At 40.9% G+C, this 18681-nt stretch overlaps 2 annotated features.

Annotated features, from left to right (window-relative positions):
• Positions 847 to 1346: an enhancer, noted in NCBI's record as "H3K27ac hESC enhancer chr17:52495913-52496412 (GRCh37/hg19 assembly coordinates)". NCBI's record gives its function as "activates a minimal SCP1, AML or CMV promoter by ChIP-STARR-seq in naive H9 embryonic stem cells {active_cell/tissue: H9 hESC(naive)}" and the evidence as "EXISTENCE:reporter gene assay evidence [ECO:0000049][PMID:30033119]".
• Positions 1347 to 1848: an enhancer, noted in NCBI's record as "H3K27ac hESC enhancer chr17:52495411-52495912 (GRCh37/hg19 assembly coordinates)". NCBI's record gives its function as "activates a minimal SCP1, AML or CMV promoter by ChIP-STARR-seq in naive H9 embryonic stem cells {active_cell/tissue: H9 hESC(naive)}" and the evidence as "EXISTENCE:reporter gene assay evidence [ECO:0000049][PMID:30033119]".

Raw genomic sequence — 18681 nt, 5'->3', positions numbered from 1 at the left:
CTTGACTTTAGATAACCTGATGACTATATGTCTAGGTGATTATCTTTTTGCAATGAACTTCCCAGCTGTTCTTTAAGCTTCTTGTATGTGGATGTCTAGGTCTCTAGCAAGGCTGGGTAATTTTTCCTCAATTATTTTCCCAAATATGTTATTCAAACTTTTAGATTTCTCTTCTTTCTCAGGAACACTGATTATTCTTATGTTTGGTCATTTAACATAATCCCAAACTTTTTGGAGGCTTTGTTTATTTACTTTTTATTCTTTTTTCTTTGTCTTTGTTGGATTGGGTTATTTGGAAACCTTGTCTTTGAACTCTGAAGTTCTTTCTTCTGCTTGTTCAATTCTATTGCTGACTTTCCAGCACATTTTGCATTTCTCTAAGTATGTCCTTTGTTTCCTGAAGTTGTGATTATTTTTTATTTACTCTATCTATTGAAGATTTCTCCCTTCCTATCTTGTATCATTTTTTAAAAAAATTTCCTTAAATTGGACTTCACCTTTCTCTAGTGCCTCCTTGATTAGCTTAATAATCAACCTTCTCAATACTTTTTCTGGCAATTCAGGGATTTCTTCTGGGTTTGGATTCATTGCTGATGAGCTAGTGTGATTTTTGGGTGATATTAAAGAACCTTGTTTTTTTTACATTACTAGAATTGTTTTTCTGGTTCCTTCTCATTTAGGTAGGCTATGTCAGAGGAAAGATTGGGTGCACGAGGCTGCTGTTCAGATTCTTTTGTCCCATGGGGTGCTCGTTGATATAGTACTCTCCCTCTTTTCCTAGGGATGTGGCCTTCTGAGAGCTGAATTGTAGTATTTGTTATTTATATTCTGGATCTAGTCACCCAACAGGTCTACCAGGCTCTGGGTTGGTACTGGGGGGTGTCTGTACAGAGTCCTGTGATGTGAACCGTCTTCAGGTCTCTAAGCTGTAGATATCAGCACCTGGTCTATTGGAGATGGCAGGATAGTGAAATGGACTCTGTGAGAGTCCTTAGTTGTAGTTGTTTAATGCACTAGTTTTGTCCTGGTTGGCCTTCTGCCAGTTGGTGGTGCTTTCAAAAGAATATCAGCTATGGTAGTATAGGGAGGATCAGGTGGTGAGTGGGGCCCTAGAACTCCCAAAAGAATATGCCCTTTGTCTTCAGCTACCAAGGTAGGTAGGGAAGGACCATTAGGTGAGGGTGGGGCTAGGCATGTCTGAGCTCAGACTGTCCTTGGGCAGGTCTTCCTGTGGCTGCTGTGGGGCATGAGGTGTGGTTCCCAGGTCAATGGAGTTATGTTGCCAGGAGGATTATGGCTTCCTCTGCTGTGCCATGCAGGTTGTCAGGAAAGTGGGAGGAAAGCCAGCAGTTACAGGCTTCATCCAGCTCCCATGCAACTTAAAAGGCCAGTCTCACTCCCACTGTGCCCCCCTGCCCTAACAGCACCAGGTTTGTTTCCAGGCAGTGGGCCAGTGGGGCTGAGAACTTGCCCCAGGCTACCAGCCTCCTGGCTGAGAAAGCAAGCAGGGCTTTTGTACCTCCCTGCCTGTGGTGCCTGCACACTGGATTCATGTCCTCCCCTGAGTTCTGGCCAGGAAACTTTGCATTCAGTTGGGATTGTTACAAGTTCAGCTGGAGGTTTCCTTCTCCCTGTGGTCTTTTCCCAGTTACTCTGGTAGCCCTTCCCAAGGGCCCCTGTGAGACAAGTCAGAAATGGCTTCCCTGTGAAACTAGAGAGTCCACAGGGCTTTTCCCATTGCTTCCTCTACTCCTGTATTTCTCTCGGCTCTTTAAATTGTCTCAGCTCCAGGTAAGGTCAAATCCTTCCCCTGTTATCTGGACCTTCAGGTTCTCCAGTGAGGGTGTGTGTTTGGGGGCAGACAATCCCCCTTTCCAACTTTTAGTATGGGCACTGACAGTATTTAGGCTATCTACTGGGTCTTGCAGGAGAAATCCACTTCCTTCAAAGGGTCTGTGGATTCTCTCAGCTTTTCTGATATCTTCTTTCAGTAGTTCCTGGAACAAAAGCTCACATTGCAGGTATCCAAACACTGCTCTGTCCTCCCAAGTGGGAGCTGGAATTTAGTCCTGCCTTCTATCTGCCATTTTTTTCAAAAGTCATAATTTATCTAAATCTTGACTTTAATATCAATAAAATGAGAATGCCACTATCTACCTTATAAGATTATCATTAAGATTAAATTAGATAATTCATGATCAACTTAGTACAACAAATACAATTCAAAGCATCTATATAATCTTAAGATAAAAAATATTGAGGTACTTAGACCCAAATAAGTTAAAAGTTTAAATAGTGTTGATCATAGTTTTTTTGCATGCACATTTTAAAATCAATATGGTATCTACTAATAAAGAAACAACACTTTTCTTGAATTCAGTGTATTAGGCCTGTGTGACAATACAGTATATGAAATTCCCAGCATGTTCTGGAACCTAAACTCTATATTGCTGTGCTTTCTAAACTAATTTTAATGCAAAATATTAAGAAAAAAATGTTCATTACATATTTTTTTTAAATCATTTAACAAAGTTGAATGACTTTCCTTGTTGGAATTACTCAGTCTCTAAAATTCAAATGTGCATTGTGAATAGCCAAGATGGGAGTTTGTATATGAAACATTACACATGTGCTTTTGACCAAGTGGTTACTTTCTCAAAGGAGACATAGAAGCCAGTTTGGGAGTGCAGCTGGATTCCCATGAGTCCTAGTAGGTATGTCAATTTCCAGCTTTGACTCCTCTTAACCTGGCCTAATTTATAGCACTTACATCTGTTGTTCTGGGCTATTTCATAAAACATGCATACATAAAGTACATTAAGATCTTACATTATTTGATTCAGTTCAAAAACTGAATGTTCAAAAGTATAATTATTTGATCCTTTATGAGCCAGTAGTAATAGTATGGGCCAGTGATGGAATATAAAATAATCTAAAAAAGATTCTTATTTGGAAGTGGTAGTACGAGATCATAGGCCATCAGAGCCAGAGGATGTCATTACTTGTTCTTTCCTTCCTCCAAATTAAACTCTTTTTTTCTTTAACTTTTAAGTTCAGGGGTAGATGTTCAGGCTTGTTAACATAGATAAACTTGTTGTCACAAGAGTCCGTGTGAAGAGAGTCCATCAACAGGCTTTGTGTGAGCAACAAGGCTATTTATTTCACTTGGGTGCAAGGGGGCTGAGTCCGAAAAGAGAGTCAGCAAAGGGAGATAGCGGTGGAGCAGTTTTACAGGATTTGGGTAGGAAGTGGAAATTACAGTTAAAGGTGGTTATCTCTTGTGGGCAGGGGCAGGGTCACAAGGTGCAGGGTGGGGAGATCATGTGACTCATTGTCCAGGGGGAATGTAACAAGGTCAATTGATTAGTTGGGGTGGGGCAGGAACAAATCACAATGGTGGAATGTCATCTTTTGTGGTTCTTCTGTTGCTTCAGGCCATCTGAATGTATACGTGCAGGTCACAGGGGTTATGATGGCTTAGCTTGGGCTCAGAGGCCTGACATTCCTGTCTCCTTATATTAATAAGAAAAACAAAACAAAGTAGTGGTGAAGTGTTGGGGCAGCAAAAATTTTTGGGGGTGGTATGGAGAGATAATGGGTGATGTTTCTCAGGGCTGCTTTGAGCAGGATTGGGGTGGTGTGGGAACCTAGAGAGGGAGAGATTAAACTGAAGAAAGATTTTGGGGTAAGAGGTGATATTGTGGGGTTGTTAGAAGGAGCATTTGTCGTATAGAATGATTGGTGATGGTCTGGATGTGATTTTGAGGGAATTGAGAAATTAAATGAAAGATACAAGGTCTGAATAAGAGAAGGAGAAAAACAGATATTAAAGGACTAAGAATTTGGAGGACCCAGGATATCCTATTAGAGAGTGCCCAAGGGGGTTCAGTGTAATTATTTGCTTGGTTGGTGAGTTTTTGGGCTTTATCCTTGAGTTTTTTTATGTTGTCATATACCAGGCCAGATTGATTTATGTAAATACAACACTCTTCATTTAAAAATATACAGTCTTTTTTTTTTAGCAGTGAGTGAGTTGAGGCCTCCGTGGCTTTGGAGAAAAGAGAAATGCAAAGCCAGCAATTGTTCGTTAAAGCAGGATTAGAAATGGCTTGGAGAGAGTGAGTGAGATTGATAGTGTGGTGGAGATAACTGGGGAGATGTAGAGGGTGGCATAAGAATGGGAACAAAAATAAGAGTGAGTATAAAAGTAAAGAATAGGACTTTATCACGGTGAAAGTATTGGAGTGTGCCCTCTCAGCAAAGATCATCTATCCACTCCAAGAGGGAGTCAAGAGTGGCAGATTGGGGATAGTACCAGGAGATATTTGCTACGATGGTTTGGAGAAAAAGTGTAAACCAGCAGTGTAAACAGGGGCAGGGCATTTATGAGTAGTTGAGAATGGTGAATAGGAGTATGACTAGAGAGAAGATAGTAGGGATGACAACTTTTTGGGGCGCAGTCCAAGTGAGGTAGGCATAAAGCCCTGTTGTAAAGAGCAGGCTAAGGAAGAAGAGACCTAATAAAAATGAAAAGATGTATTAGGCTTATAAGGGTTACTATTATCCTTTAGGAATGCAGGTGAGTTTAAGGGAAGTAGGGGTGAGTACTTGAGACTTCCAGGAGGAAAAGAAAGAGATCAGGCTGTCTCTCTGACAGGCACAGCTTTATTCTGGAACAGTGAACCTAACTGGGGGTGGGGGGGTCCTGCAGATGGATGGCAGTTGGGGTGCTACAGATGACTAGGTAGGGTCTGGTCCATTGAGGCTGCAGAGTTTGAGGGGTCAGACTCTTAACAGGAACTGATCGTCCAGCTAGGGTGTCTTCATATGGCTGGGAACCTGGAGTAGGCAAGAGAAGATTAGCAGCCTGGTGAATTTCCTGTCTAGCCTGCTGGAGGACTGGAAGATAGTCTCCTAGAGGGCTGGTGTCTGGGATGAGGTTGGGGCCAAGCAAGAAAGTGCATCCATATAAAAGTTCAAGTGGACTGTAACCTGTAGCATCTCAAGGACAGGCTCTAATTCTGAGAAGGGCAAGTAAAAGTACTGTCCAGTCTTTTTTAAGTTGGAGGCTGAGCTTGGTGAGGTATGTCTTTAAAAGACCATTAGTCTGTTCTACCTTTCCTGAGGATTGAGGACGGTAAGGGGTATGAAGATTCCACTGAATACCAAGAGCCTGAGAAACTGCTTGGGTGATGTCAGTAATAAAGGCTGGTCCATTATCGGACTGTAGAGAGGTAGGAAGGCCAAACCAAGGAATTATGTCTGACAGAAGGTAATAAATGACCACAGTGGCCTTCTCAGACCCGGTGGGAAAGGCCTCTCCCATCCAGTGAAAGTGTCTATCCAGACGAATAGGTATTTTATTTTTCTGACTCAGGGCATGTGAGTAAAGTCAATTTGCCAGTCCTGGGCAGGGGCAAATCCCTGAGCTTGATGTGTAGGGAAGGGAGGGGCCTGAGGAGTCTCTGAGGAGTAGTAGAATAGCAGATGGAACACTGAGAAGTGATTTCCTTGAGGATAGATTTCCATGATGGAAAGGAAATGAGAGGTTCTAAGAGATGGGCTAGTGGCTTGTAATCTACATGTAAGAGGTTATGAAATGACGACAGAATAGAATGGGCCTGTGAGGCTGGAAGGAGAAATTTTCCTTGGTCCAAAAACCATTTGCCTTGAGTGGGGAAGGATTGATAAGTTGAAATTTCAGTGTGAGAGTAAGTAGGAGTGGCTGATGACAAGGAGAAAAACTGGCCATTAGGGACAGAAGTAGGAATGCTGACTGCTTCTTTAGCTGTCTTATCAGCATAATTGTTGCCTTGAACAATGGGGTCTGAGGCCCTTTGATGGCCTTTGCAGTGAAGGACTCCCGATTCCTTTGGAAATAAAGCAGCCTTGAGAAGAGTTTTTATTAAAGAGGCATTAATGATGGAGGACCCTTGTGTAGTGAGGAAACCTCTTTCAGCCCATATAACAGCATGGTGGTACAGGATATGGAAGGCTTATTTAGAGTTAGTATAAATATTGACATGCAGTCCTTTTGTACGAGTGAGGACTCGAGTTAAGGCGATGAGATTGGCTTGCTGAGAGGTAGTGGAGGGGGGCAGAGTAGTAGCCCTAATGATAGATGTGGAAGATACTATAGTGTAGCCTGCCTCTGCTAGTGAGTGGTGATTAGGCCTGGTGGAACTGCCATCAATAAACCAAAAGTGATCAGGGTGAGGAACAGGAAAGAAGGAAATATGGGGAAATAGGGTGAATGTCAGGTGGATCAAAGAGATACAGTCATGGGGGTCAGGTGTGGTGTCCGGAATAATGTAGGAGGCTGGATTGAAGTCCGGGCCAGGAACAATGGTAATTGTGGAAGACTCAACAAAGAGTCAGTATAGCTGAAGGAGCCGGGGAGCAGAAAGTATATGTGTCAGGTGTGAGGAAGAAAATAGATTTTGGAAGTTATGAGAGCTGTAGAGAGTGAGTTGAGCATCGTTTGTAAATTTGAGTGCCTCTAAAAGAATTAGGGCGGCAGCGGCCACTGCACAGAAACATGAGGCCATCCTAAAACAGTAAGGTCACGTTGTTTGGACAGAAAGGCTACAGGGCACAGTCCCAGTCGTTGTGTAAGAATTCTGACTGCACAGCCCTGCACTTCGGCTGTGTGTAATGAAAAGGGTTGGTATGAGTCAGGGAGAGCTAGTGTGTGGGCAGTCTCTAAAGCTGTCTTCAAGGAATGGAAAGAGGAGTGGGGAAAGGATTTATGATCTATGGGGTCAGCTAGGTTTCCTTTTGTGAGTTTATATAATGGTTTTGTTAGGATGGCAAGACCAGGTATCCAAAGGTGAAAGTATCCAACCATGCCCAGGAAGGAAAGGAGTTGTTGCTTTGTAGAAGGGTTTGGGGTTTGAGAGATCAGCTGGACGCGATTGTCAGGGAGAGCATACGTGTTTTCATGAAGACTTATGCCAAAGCAGGTAACCGATGGAGAAGAAATTTGAGCTTTGGAGGGGGATACTTGATATCCTTTGGAGAGTAAATGTTGAAGGAGCAGGAGGATATCTTATTGAGAAGACTCAAAGGAGGGGCTACAAAGTAGAAGGTCATCAGTATATTGAATAAGATGAGAAGCAAAGGGGTGGAAATAAAGTAAATCATGAGAAAGAGCTTGGCTGAAGTAAAGAGGCCTGTCCCTGAAGCCTTGTGGCAGTACAGCTGCTGGGACTGATGGGTGTCAGCGTCAGTCCAGGTAAAAGCAAAGAGAGGCTGGGATAAGGGGTGAAGGGGAATAGTGAAAAAAGCATCTTTAACATCAAGAATGGAATAGTGAGTTGTGGAGGAAGGTATTGAGGATAGGAGAGTATATGGGTTTGGCACCATGGGGTGGATAGGCAAGACAATTTGGTTGACAAGACAAAGATCCTGGACAGGCTTTAATCCCCTCAAAGCTTGTTGTGGGATGGGATACTGACACTGAGTGGGGTAAGGGTGATTAGGTTTTAATGGGATAGTAATGGGTATGTGATTGGTTGCCAGGGAGGGAAGAGAAGGGTCCCATTCTTGTGGGTTAAGGTGGGCGGGATACAAGAGGAAGACATGAAGGAGGCTTTGGGTTGGGGAGAAGGGCAGCAATGAGATGTGGCTGTAGTCCAGGAATAGTCAGGGTAGCAGATAATTTTGTTAAAATATCTAGACCTAATAATGGAACTGGGCAGGTGGGGATAACTAAAAAGGAGTGCATAAAAGAATGTTGTCCAAGTTGGCACCAGAGTTGGGGAGTTTTAAGGGGTCTAGCAGCCTGGCCGTCAATACCCACAACAGTTATGGATGCAAGGGAAACAGGCCCTTGAAAAGAAGGTAATGTGGAGTGGGTAGCCTCCATATTGATTAAGAAGAGGATGGACTTATCCTCCACTGTAAGAGTTACCCAAAGCGTCTGTGATGGTTCAGGAGGCTTTCGAAGCAATTGGTCAGCGTCAGTCTTCAGCCACTAAGCTAGGCAGATCTGGGAAGGAATCAGTCAGAGAGCCTTAGGCCAGAGCTCTACAGTCTCTGGGAGTGGCTGCCAGGTGAGCTGGACAGTCCAATTTCCAGTGGGGTCCCTCACAGATGGGACATGGCTTAGTAGGAATCCATCATGGGGGTTGGTTGTACAGATTATTTCATGACACAGGTATTAAGCCTAGTGTACATTAGTCATTTTTCCTGATCCTCTCCCTCCTCCCAGCCTCCACCTGCCAATAGGCCCTGGTGTGTGTTGTTCCCCTCTATGTGCCCATGTGTTCTCATCATTTAGCTCCCACTTATAAGTGAGAACATGGGGTATTTGGTTATCTGTTCCTGTGTTAGTTCGCTAAGGATAATAGCCTCCAACTTTATTCATGTCCCTGCAAAGAACATGATCTCTTTCTTTTTTATGGCTGCATACTATTATTTCATGGTATATATGTACCACAGTTTCTTTATTCAGTCTATCATTGATAGGCATTTAAGTTGATTCCATGTCTTTGCTATTGCGAACAGTGCTGCAATGAACGTACATGTTCATGTGTCTTCATAATAGAATGATTTATATTCCTTTGGGTATATACCCATAATGGGATTGCTGGGTCAAGTGGTACTTCTGTCGTTAGGTCTTTGAGGAATTGCCACGCTGTCTTCTACAATGTTTGAACTAATTTACACTCCCACAAACAGTGTATAAATGTTCCCTTTTCTCCACAACCTTGACAGCATCTGTTATTTTCTGACTTTTTAATAATAGCAATTTTTTAAGTAGGATCCACCCATCTTCAGATTTCCTTGCCTATATCCAAAGCCAATTCAGGTTAGAAGGACAAGTAGCAATGTCTCTTGACTCAACAGCTTGTCTTCCTCTTTGGCTCCCATCTGTGTGGGTATCTTAGGAAGCTTGGCTTCCATTTTGGTCGGGAAAGTCTTATATTGAACCAGATTTTGCCACATGGATGGTGTAAGTTTTATACATGTATGCCTTTTGATGAATAATTCAAGAAGATTTGAATACATAAGAACAGTTGTACTAGGATATTTTTTGGCAATCTTATTTGTACTTGCTGTCCTCCGTGCCTGGGAAGGTCTTGCCCCAGATACATGCATGGCTGGTTCCCTCATGTCCTTCAGTTCTTTGCTCACAAGGCTTCCCTGGTCACTTATGAAAAACAGCAGCCCTTCTTCTATACTCCCTTTCTGTGGAGTCCTCTGCTTTTGGTTTTCTATAACACTCAACATCACATGTGACATGCTATTAGTTTACTTGTTTATGTGTTTATTTTCATTATCCCACATTAGAATGCAAATTTCCTAAAAGCAAGAATTTGTTTGTTTTGTTTACCTGAGTGCCTAAACATATGCCTGTAGACAGTCTTAATAAATATAGGTTGAATGAATGAATACATAAATTCAACAGAATGAGTTACATCTGTATGTAATGACCCAGAGGGAAGAGTAAGATAATACTGTTGAGAGTAAGCTTTTTAAAGAAAAGTGAATGAGATGACCCAATTTTTGTAACAATATGAAGTGTGTATATATGTATCTGGATAATCTCTATCTCAATCTTTCTCTCTATCCATCTCCTCACTATCTATAGTTCCAAAAGCACAGATGATATATGCCAAATTGCAAATTAACATGAATTGCCTTAGGATATTAGAGTTAGACTGCAGAGTTGGAAAGACAGTGCAAATATTTTTATACCTTTATATTGTTTGCCTTGTGACAACAAGCACTGTATTACTTTTCCAATAAAAAAAAACTATCCAATACAATAAATGCAATCACACTCACAGAAAATGACTCCAGGCTGTTTCTTTAAATGTAATGTGGCAAATAATATTATTTTACTCTTGCACAGTTGGACTTCTTATCTTCATAATTCTAGTGTCTGCAGGCTTATAGTATATAGATAATTAGCTTTGTTTAGGGTTTACCAGAGTCTCAGGTTCAGATGAGCATGTAATTGTTTGCTAAGGCTTAGCCAAGTGGACTCTTCTACTTTGAGCCTCAGTTCTTAATTGTCTGAGATTTTAGTAGAAAAAGACAATAGTCATTCATCAGAGTTTTGGGGCTTCTTATAAACAGCGGTGTACCTAAGGCAAGATAGTGATGGTGACCAGCCTTGAGTGTAGGCACTAAGGGGTTACAATGTCTCTAGAAAATTTATAATAAATAATAAACCTAATTGAGGGTCCATCTGCTTTTTATTATCAACATGTGCCAGCAACTGTAAATAATATCTCTCTTAAAATTCCCCTCCTAAAAAATATTGGGCATAAGTTTTAAATAATCACTGAGGTTACTGATGAGCCAGGATGAACTGTACCATCCTTGATTTGTCACCACTCATTAATTTGATTTTCATAATGAAAGGTGGTGTCTTAGTTATAGCACCTATCATATATTTAGCACAATGCTAAGTAATAGAAATAGAAAGATGAATAAGACATAGCTCCCACACTCAAGTTGCTTTCAGTCTAGCGAGGAAACAGGCACAGATGCAACTGAATAAAATATGGGCGATGTATTTTAATGGAGCAATCTCCAAAGTGCTTTGAGGATACAGAAGAGGAAGTGATTAGTTCTGCCTGGGGAATTCATTCAATACTTGTTCACAAATGTTTACTGAACGAGTTGCCTACACTATGCCAGGTATACTGAAAAACACACGGGGTCCCTGTGTCATTAAAGCTTAATTTTCTGACAGGACAATGCAGGTTACAGCATGAGTAAGCAAGGAAAATTCAAGCAGAGAAAAGTGCTTCAAGGTGCTATAACAGAGAGGTCCTGGGAAGGGTGGTCAGAGACAGCCTCGTGTGGAGGTGATGTTCAGGCAGAATGATGACATGGTGGCAGCAATGCAAAGATCAGGAGGAATGAGCACTATTAAACCAAGAGGTGTCACAGGCCAGACCAGCAAACCTGGCTGTGCTGTGAATCATCAGGCAAATGGTGTATCCTGCATAATTAGTCTGGCATGAGGCCCAGGCATTGCTGTTTTGCAAAGCCTCTGCTGGAGATTCTCAAGTGCAACCAGGGTTGAGATGCTACAGAGTATAATGGGAGAAGTAGGATGAAGACCACAGCAGGGTTTTAGGCAGGCCAGTGGCATAGTCTAATTTACATTTAAGAATGTGATTGTGCTTGGGTTATGTGCAGGAGCTACCACATGGAAGGCAAGAGTTAAAGCAAAGAAACAAGTTAGAGGCTCTTGAGGTAGTCCAGGGTAGAGATTCTGATGGCTTGGACCAAGGTGGAGAGGCTTGGAATCAGAAAAGGCTTCACAGCTTTCTGCTGGACTTAGAAGAAAACGAAGGCAGAGTTTTACTTTTGGTGGAAGAGTAGGAATGAGAATATGGGAAAGGGATGAAACCTGGGATAGATTGTGGTATGTGAAGGAGTGTTGGGACTGTGGGAGAGACATGGGTTTAGAAAGATTCAGACGAATAGCATATTGGAGCTGCTAAACTGATAAACCTCTGAAAAGTTAATCAAGGGCAGAAAAGTTAAGACTTTGCTTTAGGTGAATTGTTAAGTTGCAACAGTTACCTTTGATTCCTCCTGGCCTTCCCCTGAAGTGATCTCTATCGCTTTTTAGGGCCTTTCTTTCATTATCCATATTAGGAGGTTTTCCCAACCTGGGGAGCTATTTTCCTTGGTTGGCTTGAGATTTCTTACGGTTTTCTCCTACCATTATTATAGTGAGGCCTTTTTTTTTTTCTTTTCGAGACTGAGTCTCACTGTCACCCAGGCTGGAGTGCAGTGGCGTGATCTCAGCTCACTGCAACCTCCACCTCCTGGGTTCAAGTGATTCTCCTGCCTCAGCCTCCTGAGTAGCTGGAATTACAGGTGTGCGCCACCACACCAGGCTAATTTTTGTATTTTTAGTAGAGACAGGTCAGGCTGGTCTCAAATTCCTGACCTTGTGATCTGCCTGCCTCGGCCTCATAAAGTACTGGGATTACAGGCGTGAGCCACCAGGCCGGGCCTGTACTGAGTTTTAATGCCCCTCTTTTCTCCCTATATGTACTCTACTGATGTAGAGTAGCAGTGATTAAACATAGAATGAGTCATAGAGCCTCCGAAGTAAGCTTTCACCCAAGCTTCAGTGTGTTAATACACCATAGAGGCCATTTGCTGTAGGAGACCCCCAGAGTAGCACTTAATGCTCAGGCTCTCAATTTCCTGGTTAATTATCTGATTAGATACTTTCCTTGGGCTTGCTCTCCTGCTGTGCAACTTTATGTCATGGAGACTATGTTGTACTGGCACCAAATTATGATTGCATGTGTTATAAAATCTTTTATTGTCTCTTTTCAGTGGGGGAATGGTGGGACTTTATGAAGTGAAGCTATGAAAACAGCTAGTGTTCTGTAAGGCTGAAATTGTCTAATTTAAAGGTTTGTGAGCTTAAGACATATATTTCCCAAAGTGAGTGACATCTGACATGTCTGATTTCTTTTCTGTAGCTTAGCAATCCATTATCTTCATGCTATTATCTTTCTTCTCAGAGAATGTCCCATCGGTGCCTATCTCTATGGGGAGGCATTACATTATTGACCAAGAGCACAGGATGTGGAGTCAGACAGATTTGACTTCTAATCACGGTTTTACCATTTACTTGCTGTGGTCCTGTGTAAGTTACTTACCTGCTCTGAGACTTGATATCCATATTATTTCATGGATCGTTCCTAGACAAACAGCATCAGCATCACCTAGGGAATTATTAGAAATGCAGAATCTCAAGCCCATCCCAAATCCTACAGTATCATAATCTGCATTTCAGCAAGATCCCCAAGTGGTTCATATGCACATTAAATTCTGAGAAGCGATTATCTAGAAATATCTTTGCTGCTTATTCAACTCTACCTGTGAACAGAAATAACAATTTCAGAAGAAGGTCAACAGAGGAAAACTTGATAGTTGCAATTTTCAGTGTAGAGAGTTGTTTAAAGGTAGCTCATTTGTAAAAGACAGAAATGATGAAGGAAGAAGGATAAACCATTTTTGTCTTTGGGAAAGCAAATAGGCCTTAATTACCCCCTCAAATTTTGATATTCAGGTGGCCCCTCAATGTGTTCATGCCCTGAGTTAGCATTGGAAAACATAGTGAAAGCAAAACTCTTTCATGAAGCCTCAAGTCACATTTTTGAGGCTGCTTACTTTACTTAGAATTGCCACCACCCACCCCATCTTGGAATACTCACTATTCTTGATAGAAAAATCACAGGAAAAACAGCTTTATAACAAGCACTGAATCTGTACGCAAATATAGAAAGCTTAGACATTTCACAAACTCCCGATTTTCATCGGCTTTATAACTGTCCCTACTTTTACTGAGTTAGGAGAAGGGGCAAAGAAGAAAGAATGCTAAGTTGAAGTTTCTGGAGTCATCCTTAATCATACCCACACTTGCCCTATCATTTTCTATTTGTGGTTGTCTTACGAATTTCTCAACTTTTGCTATTTTATTCCAAGCACAGCTTGGATTTCTGGAGAAAATGCTTTCTAATTCTTTAATCACCACTATTAATCTTTTTCTCTGCTTTTTGTTTTTCAGCATTAACACAATGTTTTTCACTCTTCTTTTGCTCCTTGCTGCCCTAACCACTAAGGATGTGACTGAAAATGCTTTGCACAAATTTTGGATATAATTCTCCACAGTGGTGATTCAAGGGTGACCTTCAGTTACCTTGAATTATGTTGTATTTCCCATTGGCAGGTGGTGAACAACAAAAGTTCTCACTCTTGTGTTAGGAAAAAAAAATTACTATAAATAAAGAGTACTATAATTTTCTTTATTAACTATAGCTACCAGTAATAGCCAGGGCAACATCGAGATACTAAACACAGTGATTCAGATCTGTTGCCCAATTGCTATCTGACTATTTCATCACACCATGTGAAGAGTTTGCATGAGAAGGAGTAAGAATAGAAGTCAAAGGCATATAACTCAGGATAGGGTTGGTTATGCTGGAGCAACTAGCAACTCCAAAATCAATCTCTTAACCTCACAAAATGTCGTAAAAATTCTAAATTACCTGTCCAATGATGCCAGTTGACAGTGGTGCCCTTCTTATTGCAGATACCTAAGGCTAAGCTTAAGAGGGCTCCATTTTGACCCATGCTTTCTCCGTCACCATGGCAGATGGAAAGGAATGTGGAGAATCCATGATGGCTCTCCAAGTTTTTGCCCAGAGGTGATACATCATGTTCACCAATGTTGCATTGGCCAAAGCAAGTCACACAGCTTATCATCAAATGGGGTGAAAAAGCATAAGCCTACTGTGTCCAGAAAAACAGCCAGATTAACTTGGTGACTGGTGCCCATGACTACCTGAGACTATCAGACCCACAGATATCATGGGTTTCAGCTTTCCCACTTTATCACACACTATTTTATGAACTTAGTAAACCTTGAGCTTCTCAACACGTATAATAGATATAACACCACCTGCCCTACTTTCCTCATTAGGTTATTTTGAGAACCAAACTCACTAATATGTTTAAAAGGACTCTGAATGTGTCAAAGATTCTTTCCAGAAAGATTTTCAACTCCTGCTACATGACTTTATTTCCATCTGTGTTCTATTGCATTGGCTAGGCAGTGGATGATATTGTTATTATTAAATCTGAATGCTCCTGTACAAAATCCTAGTACAAGTTAATAAAAATATTGAGTGTTTATATATTATCAAATATGGCAGAAAATCTGAAAAGAATGTGCAGCTAGAATCAACTCCACCACTGCTGTCATTCCTGTGACTCTATATAACCCCCACCCCCAAAATTTGTTCTGTAGATTAAAAATTTAGTTTGGAGAGAAGTCACTCGGGAGCACTAAGTCCCCAAGCTCATGATTGCATAACAATGGAACTACTTTCTAAGAAGTTTCTGGACAATAGAAGGGATTTGAACAGATGTAGGGAGAAAGGGAAAAGGAAAGAAGATAAATTGAATAGATGGCTGGCAGCTAGGGAGCAATTTTGTAACAGAATAAATGTATTTAATCAGAAATTTTAAGTTTTTCTGTATAACTTACCACTTGAATTTTCTTCCACTTCTCTCCTTATATTTTACAGAAAACGTAACACTCACTAACATCTTGTGGAAGTGAAGTTTTTGTTTTTCTTTTGGCTTTTTTTCTGGGGCAGGGGATTGGTTTACAAAATGCTGAGTATGGCTTCAAGTTAGATACAGAGTGAGAATCCAGGCTGATTTGTGAGAAGTTTACTAAAATATGTAACACCAGACATGATAAGAATGAAAAGAGAAATATTTTAGATAATAATCAAAACCAACTAGCCAAGTTGATAGTTGTATAATTAAAAAGATAATTCAGTAGTTGTTGTATGTCCCTCTACTTTTTAATATTTGTTTGATTATATGAATAACATCTTTGATTACTCACCCCTAGCAGAAGGTAAACTTAGTCATTCAGTTCCTGAAAGCCAGAGCAGTGGACGTTGTGCAGGAAACCAGAGGACTAGTACTAGAATTGAACTGAAAGGAGACTATAAGTTTAAGTCAGAAAGTGAGTATTTAACAGATCTTCTAAACCAGAGGCATTGGAGGTGAGAACAAGGACCAAGCACAGAGGCAACAGGATTCAAACCAGCAACCAGATTGGAACAAGTGAAATGAGAGGCAATTTAAGTTTATTCTGGAAACAGGACTTGGTGCATCTCCGTTGGCCAACTCAGTCCTCCTAAAGTTGCTGGAACAGAACAGACACTAGATATATATTGGTCTTTTGGATTTCCCTCATCATTAACTTTTCAACAGGTTTTTAATTCACAAAGCATATGAGGTGTATAATTGCTTACTTAATAGTGTCCATTACATGGTTGGAAGATAACCAGGACAGAGATAAACTAGGGAAGGATGGAGTGCTCTTCAGGCCATCTCAAGTGCTGAAGTAGAAAATGTGGACTAGTAAAAATGCCCAGCAAAATAGCACTGTCATGGTGTCAGGTCCTTGCACTGTCACTTGTGAGTCGTATGACTCAAGCTAAGTTACTTAACTTCTATGAGTGAAAGTTGCCCCATATAAAGGGATAATAACAATACACTCTTTACCTACATCACATGATTATTGGATAATGTACCAAATAAAATCAATAAGGTCTGTGATGGTTAACACTGAGTGTCAACTTGATTCGATTGGAGGATGCGAAGTATTGCTCCTGGGTGTGTCTGTGAGGGTGTTGCCAAAGGAGATTAACATTTGAATCAGTGGACTGGGAAAGGCAGACCCACCCTCAGTCTGGGTGGACACAATCCAAACTGCCAGTGAAGGCAGAATAAAAGGATGTGGAAAGACTAGACTGGCTAAGTCTTCTGGCCTCCATCTTTCTTCCGTGCTGGATACTTCCTGCCCTTGAACATTAGACTCCAAGTTCTTCAGCTTTTGGACTCTTGAACTTACGCCAGTGATTTGCCAGGAGTTTTCGGGCCTTCAGCCACAGACTGAAGCGTGCAAAGTCGGCTTCCCTATTTTTGAGGTTTTGGGACTCAGACTGGCTTCCTTGCTCCTCAGCTTGCAGACCGTCTATTGTGGGATTTCACCTTGTGATGGTATGAGTCAATACTCCTTTATAAACTCCCTTTCATATATACATTTATCCTATTAGTTCTGTCCCTCTAGAGAACCCTGACTAATACAAGGTCTTGTTTTTAAAATGCATAAACTGTTGTGCAAATAGCATGCTTTCCTACTTCTACATCTTACATGGGTGTTTCCTTTGCACAGGCTTTGCCCCAAATCTCTGTAACATGGAGATTAGCGTGGAGTAAGAGTTAACTCTTACTGAACTTCATGCCTAAACTTCAGAGGTGTTCTCTGGCCATCACCTTCCTCCCTAGTTTTGTAAGAAATCCTTTATTTATTATATCACAAATCACATTGTATCATCATTTCCTAATGTCATTTTTATAATGGAAAGTCAGTCTCAACATATTAAAGAGCTAGTCTTATTCTCTAAAAATGTATTTTAGTTATTAATAATTCTTGCAAAAGAACACTTAGTGCTTACTATTACTTAAAAAGTTAATATGAGGATGAAGATAGATATAAACTGATTATCGCCATTTTGACACCAAGTAAATCTCTCTGAAATCAATTAGCTGCTTACTAACTCAGTCAAGGCCAAGCTAGAATCTACTCCTTTAGCTTGATCATAAACACAAAAGAAAGTATGGAGGCATAAATTGTGGATTCATACTTGATTATAAACTTATATAGACAATTGAGACTATACTTATATTTTATATTTTAATCATCAAAGTGAACATCTAACTCAGTTTTTTGTAGAGATTTTTCTAACCCATGGAATATGTTTTGGGCCTCCCAAGGGTCTAAAAACCACAGTTTGGGAAACATTGTCCAGGAGACTAGGTAGAACAGAGAGTAAGAAAGATAAAATCAGGAAGCTGGCCAGGCATGGCAGTTCATACCTGTAATTCTAGCACTCTGAGAGGCTAAAGTGGGAGGATTGTGTGAGGCCAGGAGTTCAAGACCAGCATAGGCAACATAGCGAGACCCTGTGCCTACAAAAATAAAAAAAAAAAAACTGGGCATGGTGGCATGCACCTGTAGTACTAGCTACTTCGGAGGCTGAGGGGGCAGTATCACTTAAGCCCAAGGGTTTGAAGTTACAGTGAGTTATGATGGAGTTTCTGCATTCCAGCCTGGGTGACAGAGAAAGGCCCTGTTTTGTTTTGTATGTTTTTGTTTGTTTTTTGAATAAGAGGCTAAGTAACTCTCCTACAGCAAAATATTTTTACCGAATTCTGAACTAGCCCTGTGAAGTGATGATGGTTGGCAGATAATTTGCAGAAAAACTCAAAATATACTGGACATAAAAAGATTTATTCTGGATTACAAGTAAATGCCAACCAGACAGTCAAGACAGATGTAATTACCACAAACTGATGAAGACAGAGGAAGAAAAGTAATTTTTTTGTTCAAAGATTATTGCTTGAAATTTCCTTACGGCTAGGCAACACTGGACACTGATTTGATTTTTATTGCAATGCAGTGATAACAAAGACACATATCATTAAGTTTCCACAGAGGACACTGAAAGGAAAAGTCTCTCTTTTTTAGATGTTGTTACTTAAACATTGGTCTTTAGCCAGGGTCAAGAGATTTCTTAGCCAGCTTCCTGGCTTTTCTGAAGCCTCCAGAGTGGTCTCTCTAAGCAATGTGCCTGCAGGACAGGGAGGAGCAAGGTTTGACAAAACTACCCTGTGTGACTTCCCTAACCTCAGAATACTTTCAGTGTCAAGAAATGCACAGAACTGGATTTAGAGAGAGAACAGTTGTTATCTCTGAAAATAAAGTGAGGGGTGCACCCAAGCATGGGCATGTTTGGCGAGTCTTCTCATAATTTGCTTTTTGCACTTATGTTTCTTAATTTTTTTTAATATAGCACACATGCAGTACTTTGTAATTAAAGCCAAAACACAAAAGATCACTGCAAAGCAATTCTAAAACTCCTTATTATCCTTCCTCTATTTTCTTGTGGAATGGTAGCAGTCGTTCAAATGGAAGACATGACCTTGTTTAATACCTCATTGAGCAAGAAGACCCCTTGCCTGTAAAGGACCATATTGCCATTACTTCAAAATCAGCTACTGCTTGACCACTGGGGTAGATTACTTTGAATACTTTCCCCA

The sequence above is a fragment of the Homo sapiens genome, chromosome 17 (genome assembly GCF_000001405.40).
Source record: "Homo sapiens chromosome 17, GRCh38.p14 Primary Assembly".
In the NCBI taxonomy this organism is placed as follows: domain Eukaryota; kingdom Metazoa; phylum Chordata; class Mammalia; order Primates; family Hominidae; genus Homo; species Homo sapiens.
This window is presented reverse-complemented; position numbering and strand designations above follow the sequence as displayed.